The sequence below is a fragment of the Homo sapiens genome, chromosome 1 (assembly GCF_000001405.40).
Source record: "Homo sapiens chromosome 1, GRCh38.p14 Primary Assembly".
Classification (NCBI taxonomy): Eukaryota; Metazoa; Chordata; class Mammalia; order Primates; family Hominidae; genus Homo; species Homo sapiens.
In genome coordinates, this window is record NC_000001.11 from 179,526,994 (window position 1) to 179,548,941 (window position 21,948).

Here is a 21,948-nt window from a genome sequence, read left to right on the forward strand (position 1 = left end):
AGGAGAGGATTCTTGGATCTTGCACAAGAAAGAATTCAGAGCGAGTTTGCAGTCCAAAGTGAAAGCAAGTTTATTAAGAAAGTAAAAGAATAAAAGAACAGCTACTCCATAGACAGAGTAGCCTTAAGGGCTGCTGGTTGCCCATTTTCTTGATGATATGCTGAACAAGGGGTGGATTATTCATGCCTCCCCTTTTTAGACCATATAGGGTAACTTCCTGACATTGCCATGGCATTTGTAAACTGTCATGGCGCTGATGGGAGTATAGCAGTGAGGACAACCAGAGGTCACTCTTGTGGCCATTGTGGTTTTGGTGGGTTTTGACCGGCTTCTTTACTGCAACCTGTTTTATCAGCAAGGTCTTTATGACCTGTATTTTGTGCTGACCTTTTGTCTCATCCTATGACTTAGAATGCCTTAACCATCTGGGGAGGCAGCCCAGTGGGTTTTAGCCTCATTGTACCCAGCTACTCTTTAAGATGGAGTTTTTCTGGTTCATACGTCTCTGACAGTATACTCATAAATTATTGCTGAAGTCAACAGTTACACTAGAGAATAATAATACTAATAGCCTGTCACAAGCTGATCACCAGCCTTTATAATAAAGTACACTATTCTTAGTGTTAATATCCTATATAAGCAAGCATTATGTTTATGTTAAGGGCATTTCTCCTCTTGCTTTCTGAGGATACCCAACTCTGTAATAGAGTAATTTCTAGTAAACTGCTTTTACTTTACTATACTCTGAGACTCACCCTGAATTTTATCCTGTGTGAGATCGAAGAACCTGCTCTTGGGGTCTGGGATAAGACCCCTTTTCTGGTAACAAAACCATTACTACTGCAACTACTGCTATTACTACTACCACCTGTAGACTTAGTTGAGCCCCTGTCCTCTCTATTTTACAAGCACCTGTTCGGCCTTTAAATATCACTTTCTCTGTTAATAATTCCTGAAGTACCTAGGAAGAAGGCATGACCCTTTTCTGGGTGTGCACAGCCCTTGGAGCACACTTTTATGCTAACAGTAATCATGTTATACCATAATTATTCATTTTATTATCTATCTCTCCTATAGTACTGTCAGTTCCTGGAAGCTGGAAGAAATCCTCTTTGTTTTTCCCATAGTTATATCCCCTTGTCCACACTCCCCATCCTACCAGTTTTTCACAGCGTTTGCTATGTGAAAGTCTTCAAAAATTCTTGTTGTGTGATTAAAGGAAATGGAAAATGTAAGCTTCCAACATGGTGCCAGGAAACTTGCTACCGTGCCAGGAAACTTGCTGGGGTGCTACACCAGCTTGCTAACAGGTCCGCATGTTTCTGTGTTCTAGCAACCTTCAACATCTACAGAGAAGGAAAAACTCATTCGATTCATTGGAGAAGATGAAAATGTTCATTCCAAACCTCTATTTGAAACAGATGTGTTGTCTTCCTGGGTATGTATCTGAAACCCAGCTAGGGAATTCAACACTATTTAACATTGCATAAAAATGATATGGTGCTAACATAACTTTTAGCTACTCTAAGGGGACCAGGGATTCCTAAGTCATGTATTTTACAGATATTTTTCTTCCAACATAATTCCTGGAAAACTCCTTTTTTCACCGTAACTTTACAAAAGCTTCTCATTCTCATCTTTAAACCTCTTTTTTTTTTTTTTTTTTTTGACAGAGTTTTGCTCTGCCTCCCGGGTTCAAGCGATTCTCCTGCCTCAGTTTCTGGAGTAGCTGGGATTACAGGTTCCTGCTACCATGCCCGGCTAATTTTTGTACTTTTAGCAGGGACAGGGTTTCACCATATTGGCTAGGCTGGTCTCAATCTCCCGACCTCAGGTGATCCACCCACCTCAACCTCCCAAAGAGCTGGGACTGCAGACGCGAGCTATTGCGCCCGGCCTAAACCCCATTTTAACATCAGTATTTCATCTCTTTCCTTAGTTTAACTATCTCTTGGTCAGTATTTGACTAATTGTTAAACATTCATTTAGTAGACTTTATTGAGTGCTATGATAATAAGCACATACCCATAAGAACAATAACTGTCGGGAAACTGGGAACTTAGAGACAGTAGCTGTGGACACTCAGCAAGAAAGCAGATTTAAAATGTCTCCACAGAAGTTTGGTTGTAGGACCATGGTAGACTTCAGTTAGCTCTAGATCAGTGTCTTACTCTCTACAGAACACTGTGACTTTAAGAGTTTATGGATGGGCTTTATCCCACTAATTCCCTGAAGTGGTGGTAATATTTTGTGTGTATGTTCATATTGTGCATTTTCTTGGATTGGGGGATCAATAGATTTTGTCAAATTTCTCCATCCTAAAGTTAAGAACCATTTCATTATTAGGGGTGTGGGAGCCATAGGCTCTTGGCCCCCTACAAATTTGTTGAAAAATCACTGATGTGAGGCAAATTGATTAATAGGAGAAAAGGCATATAAATTTGTTTAACATGTGTACATAAGAGCCTTCAGAATGAAGATCCAGAAGCTCATATACCATCCTGAGGCCATAGTAAAGAATACAGACTGAGTATGGCTAGAAACAGGTTACCTTGGTGAATCAGGTTAGTGAAAAGACTGGTTGAGAGAGAGAGAAAAGGAAGAAGCTTGGCTGGCAAAGGTGGCCTTGTTATGTAGATGAAGTCTCCCTCAGAGAGAATAAAGATGTTTCTTTTCAGACTTTGAAAGGCATCAGACTCTCAATCTCTCCTGGGTCCTGGAAAGGCATAGAAAGGGGAAGCGGCGGTGACTGCTTTAATGGAGATTCTCTACAGATGCAAATTTTTCCCACAAAAGACAGCTTTGCAAGGCCACTTTTGTTTCCTGGCCAGGCAGCGGCTATTTCAAAATATGTCAAATAAATATATTTGGGGGGTAATATATTTTAATTTCCTTTGGCACATTCTCCCAAAGTGGTGCCTTGGGAGACATCAGAGAACTTTCAACAAGTTTTAAAAATAATGCATCACTATGTTGGTCACTAAGACTGTGAGGCAAATATGTAAGAGGGAGCAGTGGGAATGGAATACAATGTCGTGAGATTTATTTATTTAGAGACAGAGTCTTCGCACTGTCACCTGGGCTGGAGTGCAATGGTGCAATCTCGGCTCACTGCAACCTCTGCCTCCCAAGTTCAAGCGATTCTCCTGCCTCAGCCTCCCAAGTACCTGGGATTACAGGTGCCCACCACCATGCCCGGCTAATTTTTTGTACTTTTAATAGAGATGGGGTTTCATTATGTTGGTCAGGCTGGTCTTGAACTCCTGACCTCATGATCCGCCTGCTTCGGCCTCCCAAAGTGCTGGGATTACAGGCGTGAGCCACCACGCCCGGCCAAAATTTTTTAAAAAGGAGACAAAGACAACAGGTAGAAGCTTTTTATCTGCTAACCCCCACCAGTCCCAGCTACAAGCCCTCCTGCCTCAGACTTGCTTCTCTAAAGTTAGAACTCTGGTATGCCGTCCAGGCTAGGCCCTGGAGCCAGGCAGGAAGCAGTCAGGAAACTAGGAGCCTGCAGCCTGGGACAAAACTCAGGAGTATCACATGTCTTTGATAGTGTGAGGTCCACTGCTCCCAGATACTGCCATTCTGTGTGACACTGGCAGTGCCATGTGGATAGCCCAGGTAAGGAGAACATGGACCAGTAAGTCCATGTTCAAAAGTCTAAGCTTTTGAAAAGTTGCTGCTGCTACTACAGATCACTAAAGACCAAACTGTCTAGGTTCTGATTAACCAAAAAATCTGGAGAAAGAACTAAAATGCCATCTGGATGTACAATTACTTGCAAGTTCCTGGAAGCCAAGAAGAATCACATTCTTCCTGTGGAATGGTGGCTGGAGTACTGCACAAGTAGAATGGGATCATGTAACTTCCCAGTGGGTCCTTCCTACCCATTGCACAGACACAATCAATTAGCTGGGACCACAGCATTGCAGTAAAGAAAGAGTTTAATTGACATGAAGCTGGCCACACCACGTAGGAGATGGAGTTACTACTCAAATCGATCTTCTTGAAGGCTCAAAGGTTAGGCTTTTTCCAAGATAGTTTGGTAGGCAGGGGGCCAGGGTATGGGTGTTGCTTATTGGTTGGGGATGCAATCATGGGGTATGGAAAATGGTCCTCATGCACTGAGTCCATATTCTAAGATTTGATGCTGGAGTTTTGGTGTAACAGTCCTGTGGGGGCCACAGGACTACCTGAGTTATGAGTCAGAGTGGCACCATCCTGTTGTCAGAAGCTTGAAAAGACATCTCAAAATACCAACCTTAGGTTCTACAATAATGATGTTATTTATAGGCATAATTAGGGAAGTTGCAAATCTTGTGACCTCTGGAATAATGGCTGAATTCAGGTCCCTCTCATACTCCTAACTTGGTGGCCTTTCATTAGTTTTACAAGGGTAGTTTAGTAGTTTAGTTTTGGGGAAGAGCTATTATCATTTAAACTTTGCCCATGCCCAGGAATGAGCCAAGTCAGCCAGCCTGTGAGACTCAAGCAAGATGGAGTCAGCCCCATCAGATTTATCTTACCATCATAATTTTGCAAAAGTGGCTTCAATCACCAGGTGCTCAAACAGAAGGGGCCTAATTGTGCTATTCTAGTAGGGGACGAGGTTGATTGATATTTGGGGATATTGGTACTCAGAGAATAGTCCAAAGCTGATAGGAGCACCCAGTCCAACTAGGGGTCCAGAACTGAATCCCAAGGAGCAGAGCCTGGAGTGGGATCTTCCCTGAGGCATGCCCAAGCCATAGAGATGCAACCCAAAGCCCATTAGTAGAGTCAAACCCCAGGAGGACCAAGCTAAAAAACCTAAAGGCAGAATTGATGTCAGACGGAGACTAACTGGAAGCTACAGCACATAGGCACAAGCAAGGAGGGTCCAATGCAATTGATTACAAGAGCCGCATGGTCCATGTTTGTCTCTGTCATATAGTGAGTAAAATAGCACAAAAGCCAGAGGAAGGTTTGGAGTCTGAGAAGAAGGCTTGTGGCAGTAACTGTAATTAGCCTTGAGGCATCTGCATCAGTATATGGTTGATGCATGGGGGATTGCCATCTGGCACACATGGAGGATGCTAGCAGCCCCACAACCAGCATTTCAGACCATGGGAATGTCCAAAATGTCATTTCAGACCACGGTCTGAAGCTCTCCTATTGAAGGACTTGAAATGGACCACAAAACATTAATCTGTACTTGCCAGTATCAAAAGAAAGGGATGTTTTCCTAGCATATCGTAACTAAATTTATATCTATTGACAGAATGAGGAGAGAGTCAGAAGGCTCAAATGCACGCAGGTAGTAGTGGACAATCCTGGTTTACCTTGGATTCTACTGATAGTTTTAGTTGTTTCATAGGGCTGTAAACCATGTGTGGAATTCCAGTTCTAGAAGCCTCTGCTCTGAAACCCTTTCTTTTAAAAGAACAAATAAGTTAGTAGTGTGTGCCAGGCGGGCACAGCCACACCACATACCTTAGGTTCAGGGTGAAAAATGATAGTGTGTACTTTCCAAACAAGTTACCCAAAAGAAGCAACAAAACAGAAAGAGAAAAATATGTGACAGAGAAAATAAGAGTCTAATATCTAGCATAAAAGGGAAGAAGTTGGCCAAGTGTGGTGGCCAGTGCCTATAATCTCAGCACTTGGGAGGCTGAGGCAGGAGGATCACTTGAGGCCAAGAGTTCAAGACCAGCCTGGGCAACATAGCAAGACCCAATCTCTACCTAAAAAAATTAAAAACTGGCTGGGCATGGTGGTGTGCACCTGTAGTCCCAGCCACTTGGGAGGCTGAGGTGGGAGGATTGCTTGAGCCTGTGAGGTCAAGGCTACAGTGAGCTATGATTGTGCCACTGCACTGTAGCCTGGGTGACAGAGCAAGATCCAGTCTCTATAAAAGAAAAAGAATAAATAAATAAATAAATAAATAAATAAATAAATAGTGAAGAGACTAACACAGGTTCTTTTCTCTTTTAGAAAAAGGTATAGTGGTATGATGGGATGTGTGATTGAGGATGAGAGGCTTAGATGCAGGCTTGCTTTAGCCCACCGGATCATGCTGTGATTGTGGCAGGCTGTCCACCCTCTTCTATCTCTCCTTCCGTCTATAAGGTAGACTTTACCTTATACCTGACACTGCTTGAGAGACATGGATAAATGAGACTTTAAAAGTATATTGTTCTGGGAAAATGTTAATATTCAATTAAAAATATGCTTATAGTTTTTGTCCTCTAAATTTCCTCTCTCACCTTCCTCTTATATAGAGTCAAAATAAATTAAAGAGGTTATCTTTTTTCTATATTTTCTTTGCCTGGCAAGATCTACATCTTTAACTGATATTTATGAAGTCCCCTAAGGAATTTAACGACTTCATTGGATTTTGCAATGTTACATTCTTAGTGAAGTAAATTATTAGTAAGACAGATATACAAGTTAGCTTCCTTGATCTTTAACTTGACTTATAAAGAAACATGTTGATCCTTCTCCTTATTTTTTAAATCTTTTTTTATTTCTCTGTTTCTTTTTGTTGTTACTGTTTCCCCTGCTTCTTCTTTACAATTCAAATCAAATTCTTATTCACCTGAAGCACGAGTAATTTGGAAGCTTCTATGCTATTTGACCAGAGACAATCCCTTTTTTTTTTTTTTTTTTGGTATTAAGGGTGTGCTTAACCATCTATTAGATAGATATGGGTAGTAGACAAAGAATATTCTAGAAGGTTTGATCCAGAACATCCTAAAAAAGTAGAATACTAATTGTTGAGACTGTCAGTTCATTCATATCTCATATTTCCTCTGTCAGAGAGAGTCAGCTAAGCAAGGTACATTGGCCCAAAAATATCTTGAAGCAATGGCTGTAATTGAACATATGCAGGAGAAGTTACTGTAAGTATGAGTCAACACAATGGTAAGAGGATGAAAATGGCTGGCCAGAAGGTTTGACTGAGAAATTCACACTTTTTGGCTTCCCTTTGGCTCTCCTGCTTTCTTTATCCACATTAGGGGGATGTGTATCTCCACATGTTCTGCTAGAGGCAGTAAACTACACTGCCCTGGTGGAAACATCCATTCTTAACTACAGTGGAAAGATAGAGGAAGTCAAACTATTTGTGTGTGTTGGAGGGGGTTGTTAGAGTGATCCAGTTCAATGTTTGTTTCTAAGAGATAACTTAGGGAAATAGATGAAACTAGGAGAAACTATTGTGCTTGGGAAAGAATGTTACATAACTCAGAGTAGAAAGGGCGGTATAGTTAAGATGGCTGGGGATGCCAGGAGAAGAGCGTAGCCATGTAGACATATAACGTGCTGTAGTAGCTAAGAAGCACATCTCAAGCTGGTTTCTTTGATTGTAAAAAATTTGGTTTTAGAGGTGCTAGAAAAGAAGTGACTCTGTTGAATTTAGTTTGTTGGATCACATCAATTAAGAGAAGCCAAAATTAACTCTTGAAAGGGAGTTCCCTGGCCATTGATGGAGAATTCCAGATACCCCAAATCAGATTTTACTAAGAAGTGATAAATATATTCTTAAATAGCAGCATGATTTCTACTCTGACATTAGCATTCAGAGTCGCTCCTGGGCCCCCAGTTCTCAGTTAATCATTGATGCTGTTGCTTCCCTTATTTCTACCCTTCAGACACATTCATCTAATCTCACTGCCTTTTTAGAAAATGAGTTTCGAAATCAAAAATACTTTTTCAACCCTTTCTATTTTGTTGTGTCTTCTCTTCCATATCAGGGAGGTTGAAAATAGAGCCAGACAGGCAGAGGAGAAGTTTGAAGATGCATATGAGAAACTTCATCATACCCTTATAAAAAATAAAGATCTAGAGGAATTAGTCATGACATCAAGAAAGGAGTCTAAAGAAGAGAAAGAAAATCAAGATGAAAGAGAAGTAAAAGAAGAAGAAGAACAACAAGAAGAAGAAGAAGTCAGGTCAGCAGAAAATTCCTCAAAATCTCCAAAGAAAGGTAAGGATTGCTTCGTATTTTGCTTTATTCAGGTTGTATTTATGAAAGAAAATTTGACTGGGCCACAAATATTGTAGAAGAACATTAATATATTTGGTGCTAATCTACTAGTTTATACTTCTCATAGGAATGTGCATATTTTAATCACATAACCATCTTATTCGGACAACTCACAAAAAGGAAAACCAAATGAATAACAATTGTGAATGAATAAAGTAGCTCAGATACAATTTTTATTTACAAAACTGGCAAAGGTTTTTTTTTTCTTTTTTTTATTATACTTTAAGTTCTGGGGAACATGTGTACAACGTGCAGGTTTGGTACATAGGTATACATGTGCCATGTTGGTGTGCTGCACCCATCAACTCATCATTTACATCAGGTATTTCTCCTAATGCTATCCCTCCCTCAGCCCCCGACCCCCTGACAGGCCCCAGTGTGTGATGTTCCCCTCCCTGTGTCCATGTGTTCTCATTGTTCAACTCCCACTTATGAGTGAGAACATGCGGTGTTTGGTTTTCTGTCCTTGTGATAGTTTGCTGATAATGATGGTTTCCAGCTTCATCCATGTCCCTACAAAGGACATGAACTCATCCTTTTTTATGGCTGCATAGTATTCCATGGTGTATATGTGCCACATTTTCTTTATCCAGTCTATCATTGATGGACATTTGAGTTGGTTCCAAGTTTTTGCTATTGTGAATAGTGCTGCAATAAACATACGTGTACATGTGTCTTTATAGTAGCATGATTTATAATCCTTTGGGTATATACCCAGTAATGGGATTGCTGGGTCAAATGGTAATTCTAGTTCTAGATCCTTGAGGAATCGCCACACTGTCTTCCACAATGGTTGAACTAATTTACACTCCCACCAACAGTGTAAAAGTGTTCCTATTTCTCCACATCCTCTCCAGCATCTGTTGTTTCCTGACTTTTTAATGATCGCCATTCTAACTGGTGTGAGATGGCCTCTCATTGTGGTTTTGATTTGCATTCTTTGATGACCAGTGATAATGAGCATTTTTCATGTGTCTGTTGGCTGCATAAATGTCTTCTTTTGAGAAGTGTCTGTTCATATCCTTTGCCCACTTTTTGATGGTGTTGTTTGCTTTTTTCTTGTAAATTTGTTGAAGTTCTTTGTAGATTCTGGATATTAGCCCTTTGTCAGATGGATAGATTGCAAAAATTTTCTCCCAATCTGTTTAGTCTGCTGATAGTTTCTTTTGCTGTGCAGAAGCTCTTTAGTTTAATTAGATCCCATTTGTCTCTTTTGGCTTGTGTTGCTATTGCTTTTGGTGTTTTAGTCATGAAGTCTTTGCCCATGCCTATGTCCTGAGTGGTATTGCCTAGGTTTTATTCTAGGGTTTTTATGGTTTTAGGTCTTACATTTAAGTCTTTAATCCATCTTGAGTTAATTTTTGTATAAGGTGTAAGGAAGAGATCCAGTTTCAGCTTTCTGCATATGGCTGGCTAGTTTTCCCAACACCGTTTATTAAATAGGGAATCCTTTCTCCATTGCTTGTTTTTGTCAGGTTTGTCAAAGATCAGATGGTTGTAAATGTGTGGTGTTATTTCGGAGGCCTCTGTTCTGTTCCGTTGGTCTATATATCTGTTTTGGTACCAGTACCATGCTGTTTTGGTTACCGTAGCCTTGTAGTATAGTTTGAAGTCAGGTAGCGTGATGCCTCCAGCTTTGTTCTTTTTGCTTAGGCTTGTCTTGGCTCTGTGCACTCTTTTTTGGTTCCATATGAAATTTAAAATAGATTTTTCCAATTCTGTGAAGAAAGTGAGTGGCAACTTGGTGGGGATAGCATTGAATCTACAAATTACCTTGGGCAGTATGGCCATTTTCACGATATTGATTCTTCCTATCCATGAGCATGGAATGTTCTTCCATTTGTTTGTGTCCTCTTTTATTTCATTGAGCAGTGGTTTGTAGTTCTCCTTGAGGAGGTTCTTCACATCCCTTGTAAGTTGTTTTCCTAGGTATTTTATTCTCTTTGTAGCAATTATAAATGGGAGTTCATTCATGATTTGGCTGTTTGTCTGTTATTGGTGTATAGCATGGAATGCTTGTGATTTTTACACATTGATTTTGATCCTGAGACTTCACTGAAGTTGCTTATCAGCTTAAGGAGATTTTGGGCTGAGATGATGAGGTTTTCTAAATATACAATCATGTCATCTGCAAACAGAGACAATTTGACTTCCTCTTTTCCAATGAATACCCTTTATTTCTTTCTCTTGCCTGATTGCCCTGGCCAGAACTTCCAACACTATGTCGAATAGGAGTGGTGAGAAAGGGCATCCTTGTCTTGTGCTGGGAATGCTTCCAGTTTTTGCCCATCCAGTATGATATTGGCTGTGGGTTTGTCATAAATAGCTCTTATTATCTTGAGATACGTTCCATCATCACCTAGTTTATTGAGAGTTTTTAGCATGAAGGGCTGTTGTTGAAGGCCTTTTCTGCATCTATTGAGATAATCATGTGGTTTTTGTCATTGGTTCTGTTTATTTGATGGATTACGTTTATTGATTTGCATATGCTGAACCAGCCTTGCATCCCAGGGATGAAGCCGACTTGATTGTGGTAGATAAGCTTTCTGATGTGCTGCTGGATTTGGTTTGCCAGTATTTTATTGAGGATTTTCTCATCAATGTTCATCAGGGATATTGGTCAAAAATTCTCTTTTTTTATTGTGTCTCTGCCAGATTTTGGTATCAGGATGATGCTGGCCTCATAAAATAAGTTAGGCAGGATTCCCTTTTTTTTATTAATCAGAATAGTTTCAGAAGGAATGGTACCTGCTCCTCTTTGTACCTCTGGTAGAATTTGGCTGTGAATCCATCTGGTCCTGGACTTTTTTTGGTTGGTAGGCTATTAATTATTGGCTCAATTTTGCCACCTGTTATTGGTCTATTCAGAGATTTGACGTCTTCCTGGTTTAGTCTTGGGAGGGTGTATGTGTCCAGGAATTTATCCATTTCTTCTAGATTTTCTAGTTTATTTGCATAGAGATGTTTATAGTATTGTCTGATGGTAGTTTGTATTTCTGTGGGATCAGCGGTGATATCCCCTTTATCATTTTTTATTGCATCTATTTGAATCTTCTCTCTTTTCTTCTTTATTAGTCTTGCTAGCGGTCTATCTATTTTGTTAATCTTTTCATGAAACCAGCTCCTGGATTCATTGATTTTTTGAAGGGTTTTTTGTGTCTCTGTCTCCTTCAGTTCTGCTCTGATCTTAGTTATTTCTGTCTTCTGCTAGCTTTTGAATTTGTTTGCTCTTGCTTCTCTAGTTCTTTTAATTGTGATGTTAGGGTGTCAATGTTAGATCTTTCCTGCTTTCTCTTGTGAGCATTTAGTGATATAAATTTCCCTCTACACACTGCTTTAAATGTGTCCCAGAGATTCTGGTATGTTGTGTCTTCATTCTCATTGGCTTCAAAGAATATCTTTATTTCTGCCCTCATTTTGTTGTTTACCCAGTAGTCATTCAGGAGCAGGTTGTTCAGTTTCCATGTTGTTGTGTGGTTTTGAGTGAGTTTCTTAATCCTGAGTTCTAATTTGATTGCACTGTGGTCTGAGAGACAGTTTGTTGTGATTTCTGCTCTTTTATATTTGCTGAGGAGTGTTTTACTTCCAATTATGTGGTCAATTTTAGAATAAGTGTGATGTGGTGCTGAGAAGAATGTATATTCTATTGATTTGGGATGGAGAATTCTGTAGGTGTCTATTAGGTCTACTTGGTCCAGAGCTGAGTTCAAGTCCTGGATATCCTTGTTAATTTACTGTCTCATTGATCTGTCTCATATTAACAGTGGGGTGTTAAAGTCTCCCACTATTATTGTGTGGGAGTCTAAGTCTCTTTGTAGGTCTCTAAAAACTTGCTTTCTGAATCTGGGTGCTCCTGTATTGGGTGCATATATATTTAGGAGAGTTAGCTCTTGTTGTTGCATTGATCCCTTTACCATTATGTAATGGCCTTCTTTGTCTCTTTTGATCTTTGTTGGTTTAAAGTCAGTTTTATCAGATACTGGGATTTCAACCCCTTTTTTTTGTTTTCCATTTGCTTGGTAGATCTTCCTTCATCCCTTTATTTTGAGCCTATGTGTGTCTTTGCACAGGAGATGGGTCTCCTGAATACAGCACACTGATGGGTCTTGACTCTTTATCCAATTTGCCAGTCTGTATCTTTTAATTGGGGCATTTAGCCCATTTACATTTAAGGTGAATATTGTTATATGTGAATTTGAGCCTGTCATTGTGATGCTAGCTGGTTATTTTGCCCATTAGTTGATGCAGTTTCTTCATAGTGTCGATGGTCTTTCCAATTTGGCATGTTTTTGCAGTGACTGGTACCGATTGTTTCTTTCCATGTTTAGTGCTTCCTTCAGGAGCTCTTGTAAGGCAGACCTGGTGGAAACAAAATCTCTCAGCATTTGCTTGTCTGTAAAGGATTTTATTTCTCCTTCACTTATGAAGCTTAGTTTGGCTGGATATGAAATTCTGGGTTGAAAATTCTTTTCTTTAAGAATGTTGAATATTGGCCTCCACTCTCTTCTGGCTTGTAGGGTTTCTGCTGAGAGATCTGCTGTTAGTCTGATGTGCTTCCCTTTGTGGGTAACCCAACCTTTCTCTCTGGCTGCCCTTAATATTTTTTCCTTCATTTCAATCTTGGTGAATCTGAAAATATGTGTCTTGGGGTTGCTCTTCTCAAGGAATATCTTTGTGGTGTTCTCTGTATTTCCTGAATTTGAATATTCGCCTGCCTTGCTAGGATGGGGAAGTTCTCCTGGATAATATCCTGAAGAGTGTTTTCTAACTTGATTCCATTCTCCCCGTCACTTTCGGGTACGCCAATCAAACGTAGATTCGGTCTTTTCACATAGTCCCATATTTCTTGGAGGCTTTGTTCATTTCTTTTCAGTCTTTTTTCTCTGATCTTTTCTTCTCTCTTTATTTTATTAATTTGATCTTCAATCACTGATAATCCTTTCTTCTGCTTGATCTAATTGGCTATTGAAGATTGTGTATGCGTCACGAAGTTCTCATGCTGTGTTTTTCAGCTCCGTCAGGTCATTTATGTTCTTCTCTACCCTGGTTGTTCTAGTTAGCCATTTCGTCTAATCTTTTTTCAAGGTTTTTAGCTTCCTTGAGATGGGTTAGAACATGCTCCTTTAGCTCGGAGATGTTTGTTATTACCCACCTTCTGAAGCCTACTTCTGTTAACTCATCAAACTCATTCTCCATCCAGTTTTGTTCCCTTGCTGGTGAGGAGTTGTGATCCTTTGGAGGATAAGAGGCATTCTGGTTTTTGGAATTTTCAGCCTTTCTGTGCTGGTTTCTCCCCATCTTTGTGGTTTTATCTACATTTTGTCTTTGATGTTGGTGACCTATGGATGGGGTTTTGGTGTGGATGTCCTTTTTTTTGATGTTGATGCTATTCCTTTCTGTTTGTTAGTTTTCCTTCTAACAGGTCCTTCAGCTGCAAGTCTGTTGGAGTTTGCTGGGGGTCCACTCCAGACCCTGTTTGCCTGGGTATCATCAGCGGATGCTGCAGAGCAGCAAATATTGCTGCCCAATCCTTCCTCTGGAAGCTTCGTCCCAGAGGGGCACCTGCCAGATGCCAGCCAGTGCTCTCCTGTATGAGGTGTCTGTCGGCCCCAACTGGGAGGTATCTCCCAGTCAGGCTACACGGGGGTCAGGGACCCACTTGAGGAGGCAGTCTGTCTGTTATCAGAGCTCGATCGCCATGCTGGGAGAACCACTGCTCTCTTCAGAGCTGTCAGGCATTTAAGTCTGCTGAAGCTGTGCCCACCACTGCCCTTCCCTCAGGTGCTCTGTCCCAGGGAGATGAGGCTTTTTTCTATAAGTCCCTGACTTGGGCTGCTGCCTTTTGTTTAGATATGCCCTGCCCACAGAGGTGGAATCTAGAGAGGCAGTTGGCCTCACTGCTGCAGTAGGCTCCACCTGGTTTGAGCTTCTCAATGGGTTTGTTTACACTGTGAGCATAAAACCACCTGCTCAAGCCTCAGCAATAGCGAACGCTCTTCCCCCGACCAAGCTCCAGCATCCCAGTTCTATCTCAGACTGCTGCCCTAGCAGCAAGAATTTCAAGCCAGTGGATCTTAGCTTGCTGGGCTCCGTGGGTGGGGGACCCGCTGAGCCAGGCACCAGAGGGAATCTCCTGGTCTGTGGGTTGCGAAGACCACGGGAAAAGCATAGTATTTTGGCAAGAGTGTACCGTCGCACCTGGTACAGTCTCTCATGGCTTCCCTTGGCTAGGAAAGGGAAATACCCTGACTCCTTGTACTTCCTGGATGAGGCGACGCCCTGCCCTGCTTTGGCTCTCCCTCCATGGCCTGCACACACTGTCCAGCCAGTCCTAATGAGATGAAGCAGGTACCTCAGTTGGAAATGCAGAAATCACCCGTCTTCTGCATTGATCTTACTGGGAGCTGAAGACTGGAGCTGTTCCTATTTGGCCATCTTGCCGGAAAATCCGTTTTTGTTTTTTTTTTTTTTTTAATAAAAGAACACAATGCTGATTAGAAGTAGCAGCATATAATAGTTATACAGGTAATACTTGTGAGTAGACAAACACATACAACCATTTTAGAAAATAATTTGATAGTATGTATGGCTATCCCTTTAAAACATGCATATATTTATAATATATGCATAATATATGCATGATAATATGCATAATAATATTGCATGATAATATGCATGATAATATATGCATGATAATATATGCATAATAATTTCACACGTGAGAATCTTAATAATCCTAAATACACAAAATTAATATACAAAGATGTTCAGTGTATCATTGTGTATAATAGAAAAAATAGAAACAACCTACGTGTTCAATCATGAAAGATTAAATAAATCATGCTGTATTAATATACATAAATATTACACAACTATTAAAATGGTGTTTAAAGGAGTTTTTAGTGACATGGGAAATTTTATGTTAACTATCAAATGCAAGAAACAGGATATGACATCATTTTTTAAAGGCAGAAAAAAGACCAGAAAGAAATATGCCCAAATATTCACAGACATTGTCTCTGGGTAATAGAGGTTTGTAGGAAGTTTTATCTTTATTTTTTGGTACGTGTTTGACTTCATATGATTTTTACAGATACTTTATGTTATAGGGAGAGGAATTTAATTGTTCATTTTCTTATTTCTAATTAGTGCTGCAATATGCCCACAAGCAGTTCTCAATATTTCTAATATTAGAGGCTATTTTTTTATTTTTGCTTTCATCTCCAACCTGTGGTCTGTTCCCAGGACAGTTCCTGGTGCAAAGGATAGTACTGGAAAGACATCTACTTTCCGTTTTTCTCTGTCAGTCCTATCTCCACCTGCCCCTCAGCAAAAGCAGTGAAGTTAGCCAACTGCTCGCAGCCCCTGGCCCTAGGTACAGGGACATTAACCCTATAGAGTGTGAATTCATTTTTTCTACTCCTTTCAACTCTGAACTGGCGAAAATGTCATTTATTACAAGTCTGACAATCAGTCCTTAGTTTTAGGTTTGAATGCATGTGAGAGAGTTTTCATGAATTTTTAAAATTTCATCTTCTTATATTCTGAATGTACTTTTATCCTGATAATTTGAAAACTGGACCTTTTCTAGATTTAGGAAGATAAATAAGCAAACCACCCAAAAAGCCTACTTGTTAAACTAGAGAGGTTACCTCAATATGGAATGTGGGACTTTAGTTTTGTCCATTCCCACGAAAGTCTTGAGGATTCGGTTAAATCCAGAACTGAGAAGTTTTAATTATTTAAGGTAGAGAATAGCTACATAAAGTTAGTCCCCAGCCTGCAAACAGTAATTTACACAGACACCCAGCCACCCTTCCCCCTCCTTCCAAAAACCACCAGCAAAATCATTGCCAGGGGGCTCTGAAGTGGAAGATGAGACGCCTTGCAAAGCTCAGGAGAGCTGCCTCCTACTCACGGCAGTCCCTGTGCCCTGCAAGGGACCTAAACAGAGTCTCCAGAAAATCCATAGGTTAAATCCATCCTTAGAGTTAGCAGGTAACCCCTTGAAAAAAATGCAGATACCTCTGGAGCAATCTGGCACTGCTATATTTATATATATTAGTGCAATAAAATCACTTTTTTCCTGAGGGTTGTGCAGTGAAGGAATAGAAAATTATATTGTGGTAACGGCAGGAGCCTTGTGAATGCTGAGTAAAGAGAAGACCTGGACAGAGTAGGGGATGTATTTATTTTTATTTTTATGTCAGTATTTTTAATAATTAGCAAATCACTGTGCTCTGAGCTGTGACTGAAAAAGGAATCAAGAGGGAAGTTTGCAAAGATGAATATGGCTTAGTCCTGGATCTCAGTGGGGTCTACAGTTGGGTGTGGAGAAGTTACACTAACAGTAATACAAAGTGCAAATAGTAATACAAAGGCAACCACATGTAAGATGGAGATGGCAGCAGCCAGTCTGAAGGATTCAAATTGGGAAGCAGCGTCACGGGGCTGTTTTTCACGTGCATGTTGGGGGGAGCAGGCTTGATGGCCAGAGGCCATCAAGGTCTGTGCACAGGAGCCTGGAAAGAAAGGGTTGGGGAGACAACAGAAGGGCTCAGGAATGGTTAAGGGAAGATTCTGAAGACTGTTTCCATTTGAATTTTTTTTCACCAAGCTTCGGTTGTGTACAAGAGGGAAGGAGGAGATGTTCTTTCTCTTCTTCACTCCTTGACCACATTCTGTCCTGCCCCAGGACCCAGAACTCAAACAGTTAAATGACCACACTTGAACTTGGGAAATGCATTCTGAATGCCAATAACCAATTTAGAGTCAAATTTGTGGCACATAGCTTATTTGTAGCTTGAGGGTTACCCAGGCAGAAAAAATGTAAAACTGCTTTGTAAAATTAAAAACCCTTAGTAAATATAAGATATTATTACTACAATATTCTAGCTGTTTTTGTCTTTTTAGAGGTACCATGCAAGGACGGTGCTCTCAACATTAAATCTGGAATCCAGACTACATCCAATGACAAAACAAAACCCAAGTAGTGTCCACAGAGCTCTGGGGTTCACAATGGCTCTATCCACTGAACACACCCCAGATATCACTGCGTTATAGAGCTGATGTGGCTCAGTTGGAGGGACCCCCTTTGTAACAGCCACTAGAAAAGCCATAACCTACAACGCAAGAGCATTTTCTCTTTAAGTCACAGCGATGGCTGTAGGGAGTCAGGTGCATTAGCTCACTTCCCGCATTAAAAATAGCTTATGCAAGTTTGTTAGCCTCTTCAATTGATTTCCTAACAGAGGTCTGTGAAATGTCAGTTTCTCTCGAGAAAATAATGCTTTTTGAAAACTTTGAACTCTGCAGACAAGACTGGCAAATAAAAAAACATTAGTTTTTCAATTTAAAAGAGAAGATCTAGGCTGGGCACGGTGGTTCACGCCTGTAATCGCAGCACTTTGGGAGGCCAAGGTGGGAGGATCACTTGAGGTGAAGAATTCGAGACCAGACTCGCCAACGTGGCAAAACCCCGTCTCTACTAAAACACAAAAATTAGCCAGGCATGGTGGTGCGCACTTGTAGTCCCAGCTTACTCAGGAGGCTGAGGCATGAGAATCGTTTGAACCCAGGAGGTGGAGGTTGCAGTGAGCTCAGATCGCGCCACTGCACTCCAACCTGGGCAACAGAGCAAGACTCCATCTCAAAAAAAAAAAAAAAAGAAAAAGAAAAAAAGAGAGAAGAGAGAAAATCTTGACGATGCTGTTAGGTTTCTGCAGCATTTTCGGATTTCTTATGATTTCTGACATTTTTATAATTTATCTGATCTTTGCAATAACCCTGCAAAGTAGGTGGAGGAGATATTCTCAGAAGGTAAAACTGAGGCCCAGTGATTATAAGACACGGTCACAGAGCTGATTGGTGTCAGAGCCCCCAGCTCACTGGACTCATGTCTAGACTGTTTCACAATAGTGAAGGGCCACCAGGCCATTGTTCAGATGGTTTCCTTCATAGGGGCCTGTGTTGCTGAAGATTCACCCAGAATCTCTATTTCTTGCTTTTACTGTCTCATTTGTCTGCTCTGTTCATGACCCTGAATCCATCTAGGCACAAGAGATGGACTAACCTGCAAAAATCAGTTGCAAGTGACAACTGGATGTTCTGGGCAGTCACTCAGCAAGGGCTCCCTGCTGCCTCACTGCTCCTGGCTCACTTGCCTTTGCTCTTATCTCTGAACACCTGTGGCAAGATTTCTACACCTGCATTGATTCCACATATTTGGTGTTTCTTTGGGTTTATCTCCTAGAATTTTAGACCTTTACCTGTTCTTCTAGCCTCAGAAATCCCAACTCTAGAGTCCCCATCTTTATTTAAGCCAACCCTGGCCAGGCCTGTCATTGGCCATCATTAAACTGTGTGAGGGATGGGTTTCAACATTCCTTAGTATATACCTAAGACTACTAGATGGAGTCTGGTCAGTTCCACTCTTTACCTCTGCGAAAAGAAAACATGAAATTCTTCAGAAACTTGGCAGTGCTCCTGGCCCAAATGACAGACGAGCTGAAGCTGTTGGCTCATAATTACAGCTGCTGCCTGACGGAACAGAGCCAGCCTTATCTTTGCTCCTTCCCAGAGAAATTCCTGGATAGCTCTAGAAAATTTGGGGACTTTTTGTGGGGTTGCAGAATAATTTTTATTGATTTTCCACTTTGCAGGCATGAGTTGTCATTTCCATACAAATCAGTAGGCCCCATCCCTGAACATGAGCCTTGTCCCTTAGAATGTGCCAAATACCATGTCAGCTCCATTGCGTAGAAGGCTTAGTCTCTAAATTCCAGAGTTATATCTGCTGCCACTACAATTAGAATGAGGTGATTGGCATCATGGACCCACATTAGCTGAGGTGGTTTTGTTACAAGCACCTACTCTTGCAAGCCCATGAAAAAAGATAATGTATTGAAAGGATGCTGGGGGGTTCAAGGATTTGAAGGGAAGTTTTGAAGAACTAGGCTGGGAACAGACAGGAACCAGCTAGCTTTAGATCAGGCACAATAGTTCCTCACCATCTGTTCCAGTGCTACCACCAAACAAACACCAATCATTTATTTCATCCTTACATTATTCTGCCAAAGTCTCAAAGTCCCAAGAGAGAGAAAAGCTACCCTGTGGTCACAAACCTCCCTATGGATGAACCAGGGATGTTGAGAAGACTTCACAGGTCTCTCTGGCTTCCTTAAAGTGAAGGAAGGACGCCTTGCGGTGCTCTTCCACTAAGATGGGACACACTATGGGGAAAGGAAATCAGGGTGGGGTTAGGAAGACATAATGAGTGTTAGGTGGTTAAAAAAAAAAAAAAAAAGTATGCCCCAGGGAGGGCACCTGCACTGCTGCTCTCTGCAAGTTAGCCTGGCCAGTTCCACTCTCCCAAGTAACTGCTTTGTGGGAAGGTTTAAATAGTCCTTGAGACCCTGCCACACCTTCTCAGGGTGTCCCTGAAGTGGTCTCCCAAGCAGAGTGGAGGGAGGAACTTCTGCTGCTCATCACTGGCAGTCAGGCTGCCGAGTGAGGCTGTTGTGCTTGCATATGGGAGACTAGCCATTCTGTACTTAGATGTCCAGACCGAGCCATGCTGTCCATTTTTCTAGAAAGCTGCTCTGGCCCTTCAGAGAGAGGAAACTGGTTAGCCTCATCATACTCCTCTGTGTCCCAGCCCCCAATCTCAGTGGCGACAGGTTCCATGTCCTGTAGTGCCGAGTTGGTACTGTTTTGGGAGTGCATACCATAGTGTACTTAAGGATCTTAGAAAGCTTAGTGGACAGTCCCCCTCAACCACCAGGCCTGGCTCTTCACCACATACCTACAGCAACTCAGTGCGCGTGGGCTCCAGGAGATTCTCCCCTGAGAGATCTGGTCCCACTCTCACAATTGGTCTCACTGACTTGACTATGGTCAGGTCACTTGTCTGCTACCTTGTAGCATTCAGTGACTGCACTTTCCTCTTGTCCTTGGCCTTTCCTAGCTGGAGGTCAATGACCCAGATACTACTTGGGAAACATATCTTGCATTTCACTTTTAAAGCCTGCTGGAAATTCTGCTTGCAGGCCCCAAAGCTCTAGATCACTGTCTGGGTATTCCTGAAATCAAATAAGTATCCATCTACCAGCAAGTATTTCCCCAGAGGAAGCAGAGGAGTTTCTCTAAAATTAGGAATAAAACTGCTGTAGCCCTGCTGCGTAGGCCCTGCATACCTGCAAAACTGCAGTGCTTGCTAGGTGAGCCTGAGGCTGAGGCATTCTGTAGCTATATTGATATGAAGCTGTGTCTAGGGTTCATCAGGATTTCCATCACTGCCTCAGAAAAATGTAGAGCTCATTCTAGCCAGGTCTGCCACAGCCTCAAGGCAAGCTCCCATTCAGGATTGCTAAGCAAGCCTACTAATCCCTCTGACCTCAAAGATGAACTATGCAGAGTGCAGGTTTTTGAGAAGTGCAGCTTGTCTAAAATGGTGCAGCAAAGAACGTGTAAGGCAGCCTTCCAGAAGTGCCCTAAGCAGTCCCATTATACAGCAATGTGCCATTCTGCCAGGACAATGCTTCTATTCTTAAATGTCCAATGAAAGGGCACCTGCAAGACTGCAGTGGCTTCTGTCGGTTTGGAGGGCATCCTCTGGTATTTGCCAGGTTTGGGTCCCACGAGCACCTGACCTGGCAGAGTTATACTTTAGGCTACCTCTAGGCCAGCTTGAGAAACACTTTTGAAAGTCTGAAGATTAAGAGTTTCCATGATCTGTCTTGCCAAGGCAAACTGATTTTTAGAAGGCAAACTGTCCCCATCCCTACCCCCTACCCAGAAGTCTGACAGATCCTGGAGTTCACAAGGTACTACTGGTAATTCAGCTCTCATTTTCCACTCTGGCCATCCAAACAGTCAAACCCAGGCAAGAAAGAAAGAAAGGGGGATTGTCTGAGTTTTGGCTGTAACTATTGCCCACCAAGAGGAAAAACTTTTCTGTCCTGTTTTTGCTCTACTATGATCCCGAACAGCTGTGCACTTTGAAACAAATGCTTGTTATATCATGGTGGGAATCAAAAACAGGAGACCATATGTGCAAGTTTTAAAGCTGGTTCTGTCCTAGAACAACCACCCTGGGAGCAGGCACTACTGGCCATCGGGGCTGCCTTTCACACATGGAGGCAACATGTGGAGGGGCCAGCAGGCTCTTATTTGGATGCAGCCTCATGGCTGTCATTTATTGCTACTGAAGTAAAACCAGAATAATAGTAATCACCATTATTTATTAAGAATTTACCTTGTGCAAGCATTGTGCTAAGCATATCATATGCATTATCTTATTTAATCACAACTCTGTGAGGTGGATCCTACTTTTATCCCCATTTATACACAGGATTAGTAATATGTCCAAGGTTAAACAGTTAGTAAATGGTAGAGCCTGAATCAAATCTAATATGTCTGACAGCAGACCCCAAGCTCCCAGCTATAGTGCTGTAATATCTTTCCAAGCCCAGAAGAAGCCGTTGGAAGTGTGTTGATGACCTCTCTTTTAAAGGATTTGGCTTCCATGTCCTTTACTTAATGCTCAGCTCAGCTACCGTGCAAAAGCCAGAATTATTGGAACCTCATAATTCCAATAGACTCTCTGCCAAAGAACATTGTAGTGGCCAGGAACAGTCCATCAAGGAGATGCATACTTACTCAGAGCCATCCAGACATGGTCCCCAAGGATGTGGAATGCAGGCGTATTGGCAGAATGACCTGCTGAGCCTTCTAGATAGGAGAGTCCAAACTGCAGAGCGCCCATTGCACCATAACACCACTGGTGAGCCATGGTGGCCCTTGAATTTCTAAGGAAGGCCTTCAAAGCCTCCACATTTCTGATGATTTTGAGCCCAACAATCTGCAGTATACCAGCCCTTAAGCTAGCTGCTTGCATAATAAATTCAGGTCTGAATACA

General features: G+C 41.6%; 1 protein-coding gene across 18 annotated transcripts in view, besides 1 other annotated feature; it reads left to right on the plus strand.

The window, feature by feature from the left end:
• AXDND1 (axonemal dynein light chain domain containing 1) overlaps positions 1 to 21,948 on the plus strand; it is a 189,031-nt gene that overhangs the window by 161,289 nt on the left and 5,794 nt on the right. For 15 of the 18 annotated variants that reach the window (XM_011509168.2, XM_011509169.2, XM_011509167.4 and 12 more), the window contains 4 exons: positions 1,334 to 1,438; positions 5,977 to 5,982; positions 6,802 to 6,884; positions 7,737 to 7,969. In XM_011509168.2, the coding sequence (XP_011507470.1) occupies positions 1,334 to 1,438; positions 5,977 to 5,982; positions 6,802 to 6,884; positions 7,737 to 7,969 (427 nt within the window). The remainder of the gene's footprint in view (positions 1 to 1,333; positions 1,439 to 5,976; positions 5,983 to 6,801; positions 6,885 to 7,736; positions 7,970 to 21,948) is intronic. The other 3 variants (NR_073544.2, NM_144696.6, XM_011509175.2) reach the window with 1 other exon arrangement.
• Positions 2,333 to 3,158: an enhancer, noted in NCBI's record as "OCT4-NANOG-H3K27ac hESC enhancer chr1:179498461-179499286 (GRCh37/hg19 assembly coordinates)". NCBI's record gives its function as "activates a minimal SCP1, AML or CMV promoter by ChIP-STARR-seq in primed H9 embryonic stem cells {active_cell/tissue: H9 hESC(primed)}" and the evidence as "EXISTENCE:reporter gene assay evidence [ECO:0000049][PMID:30033119]".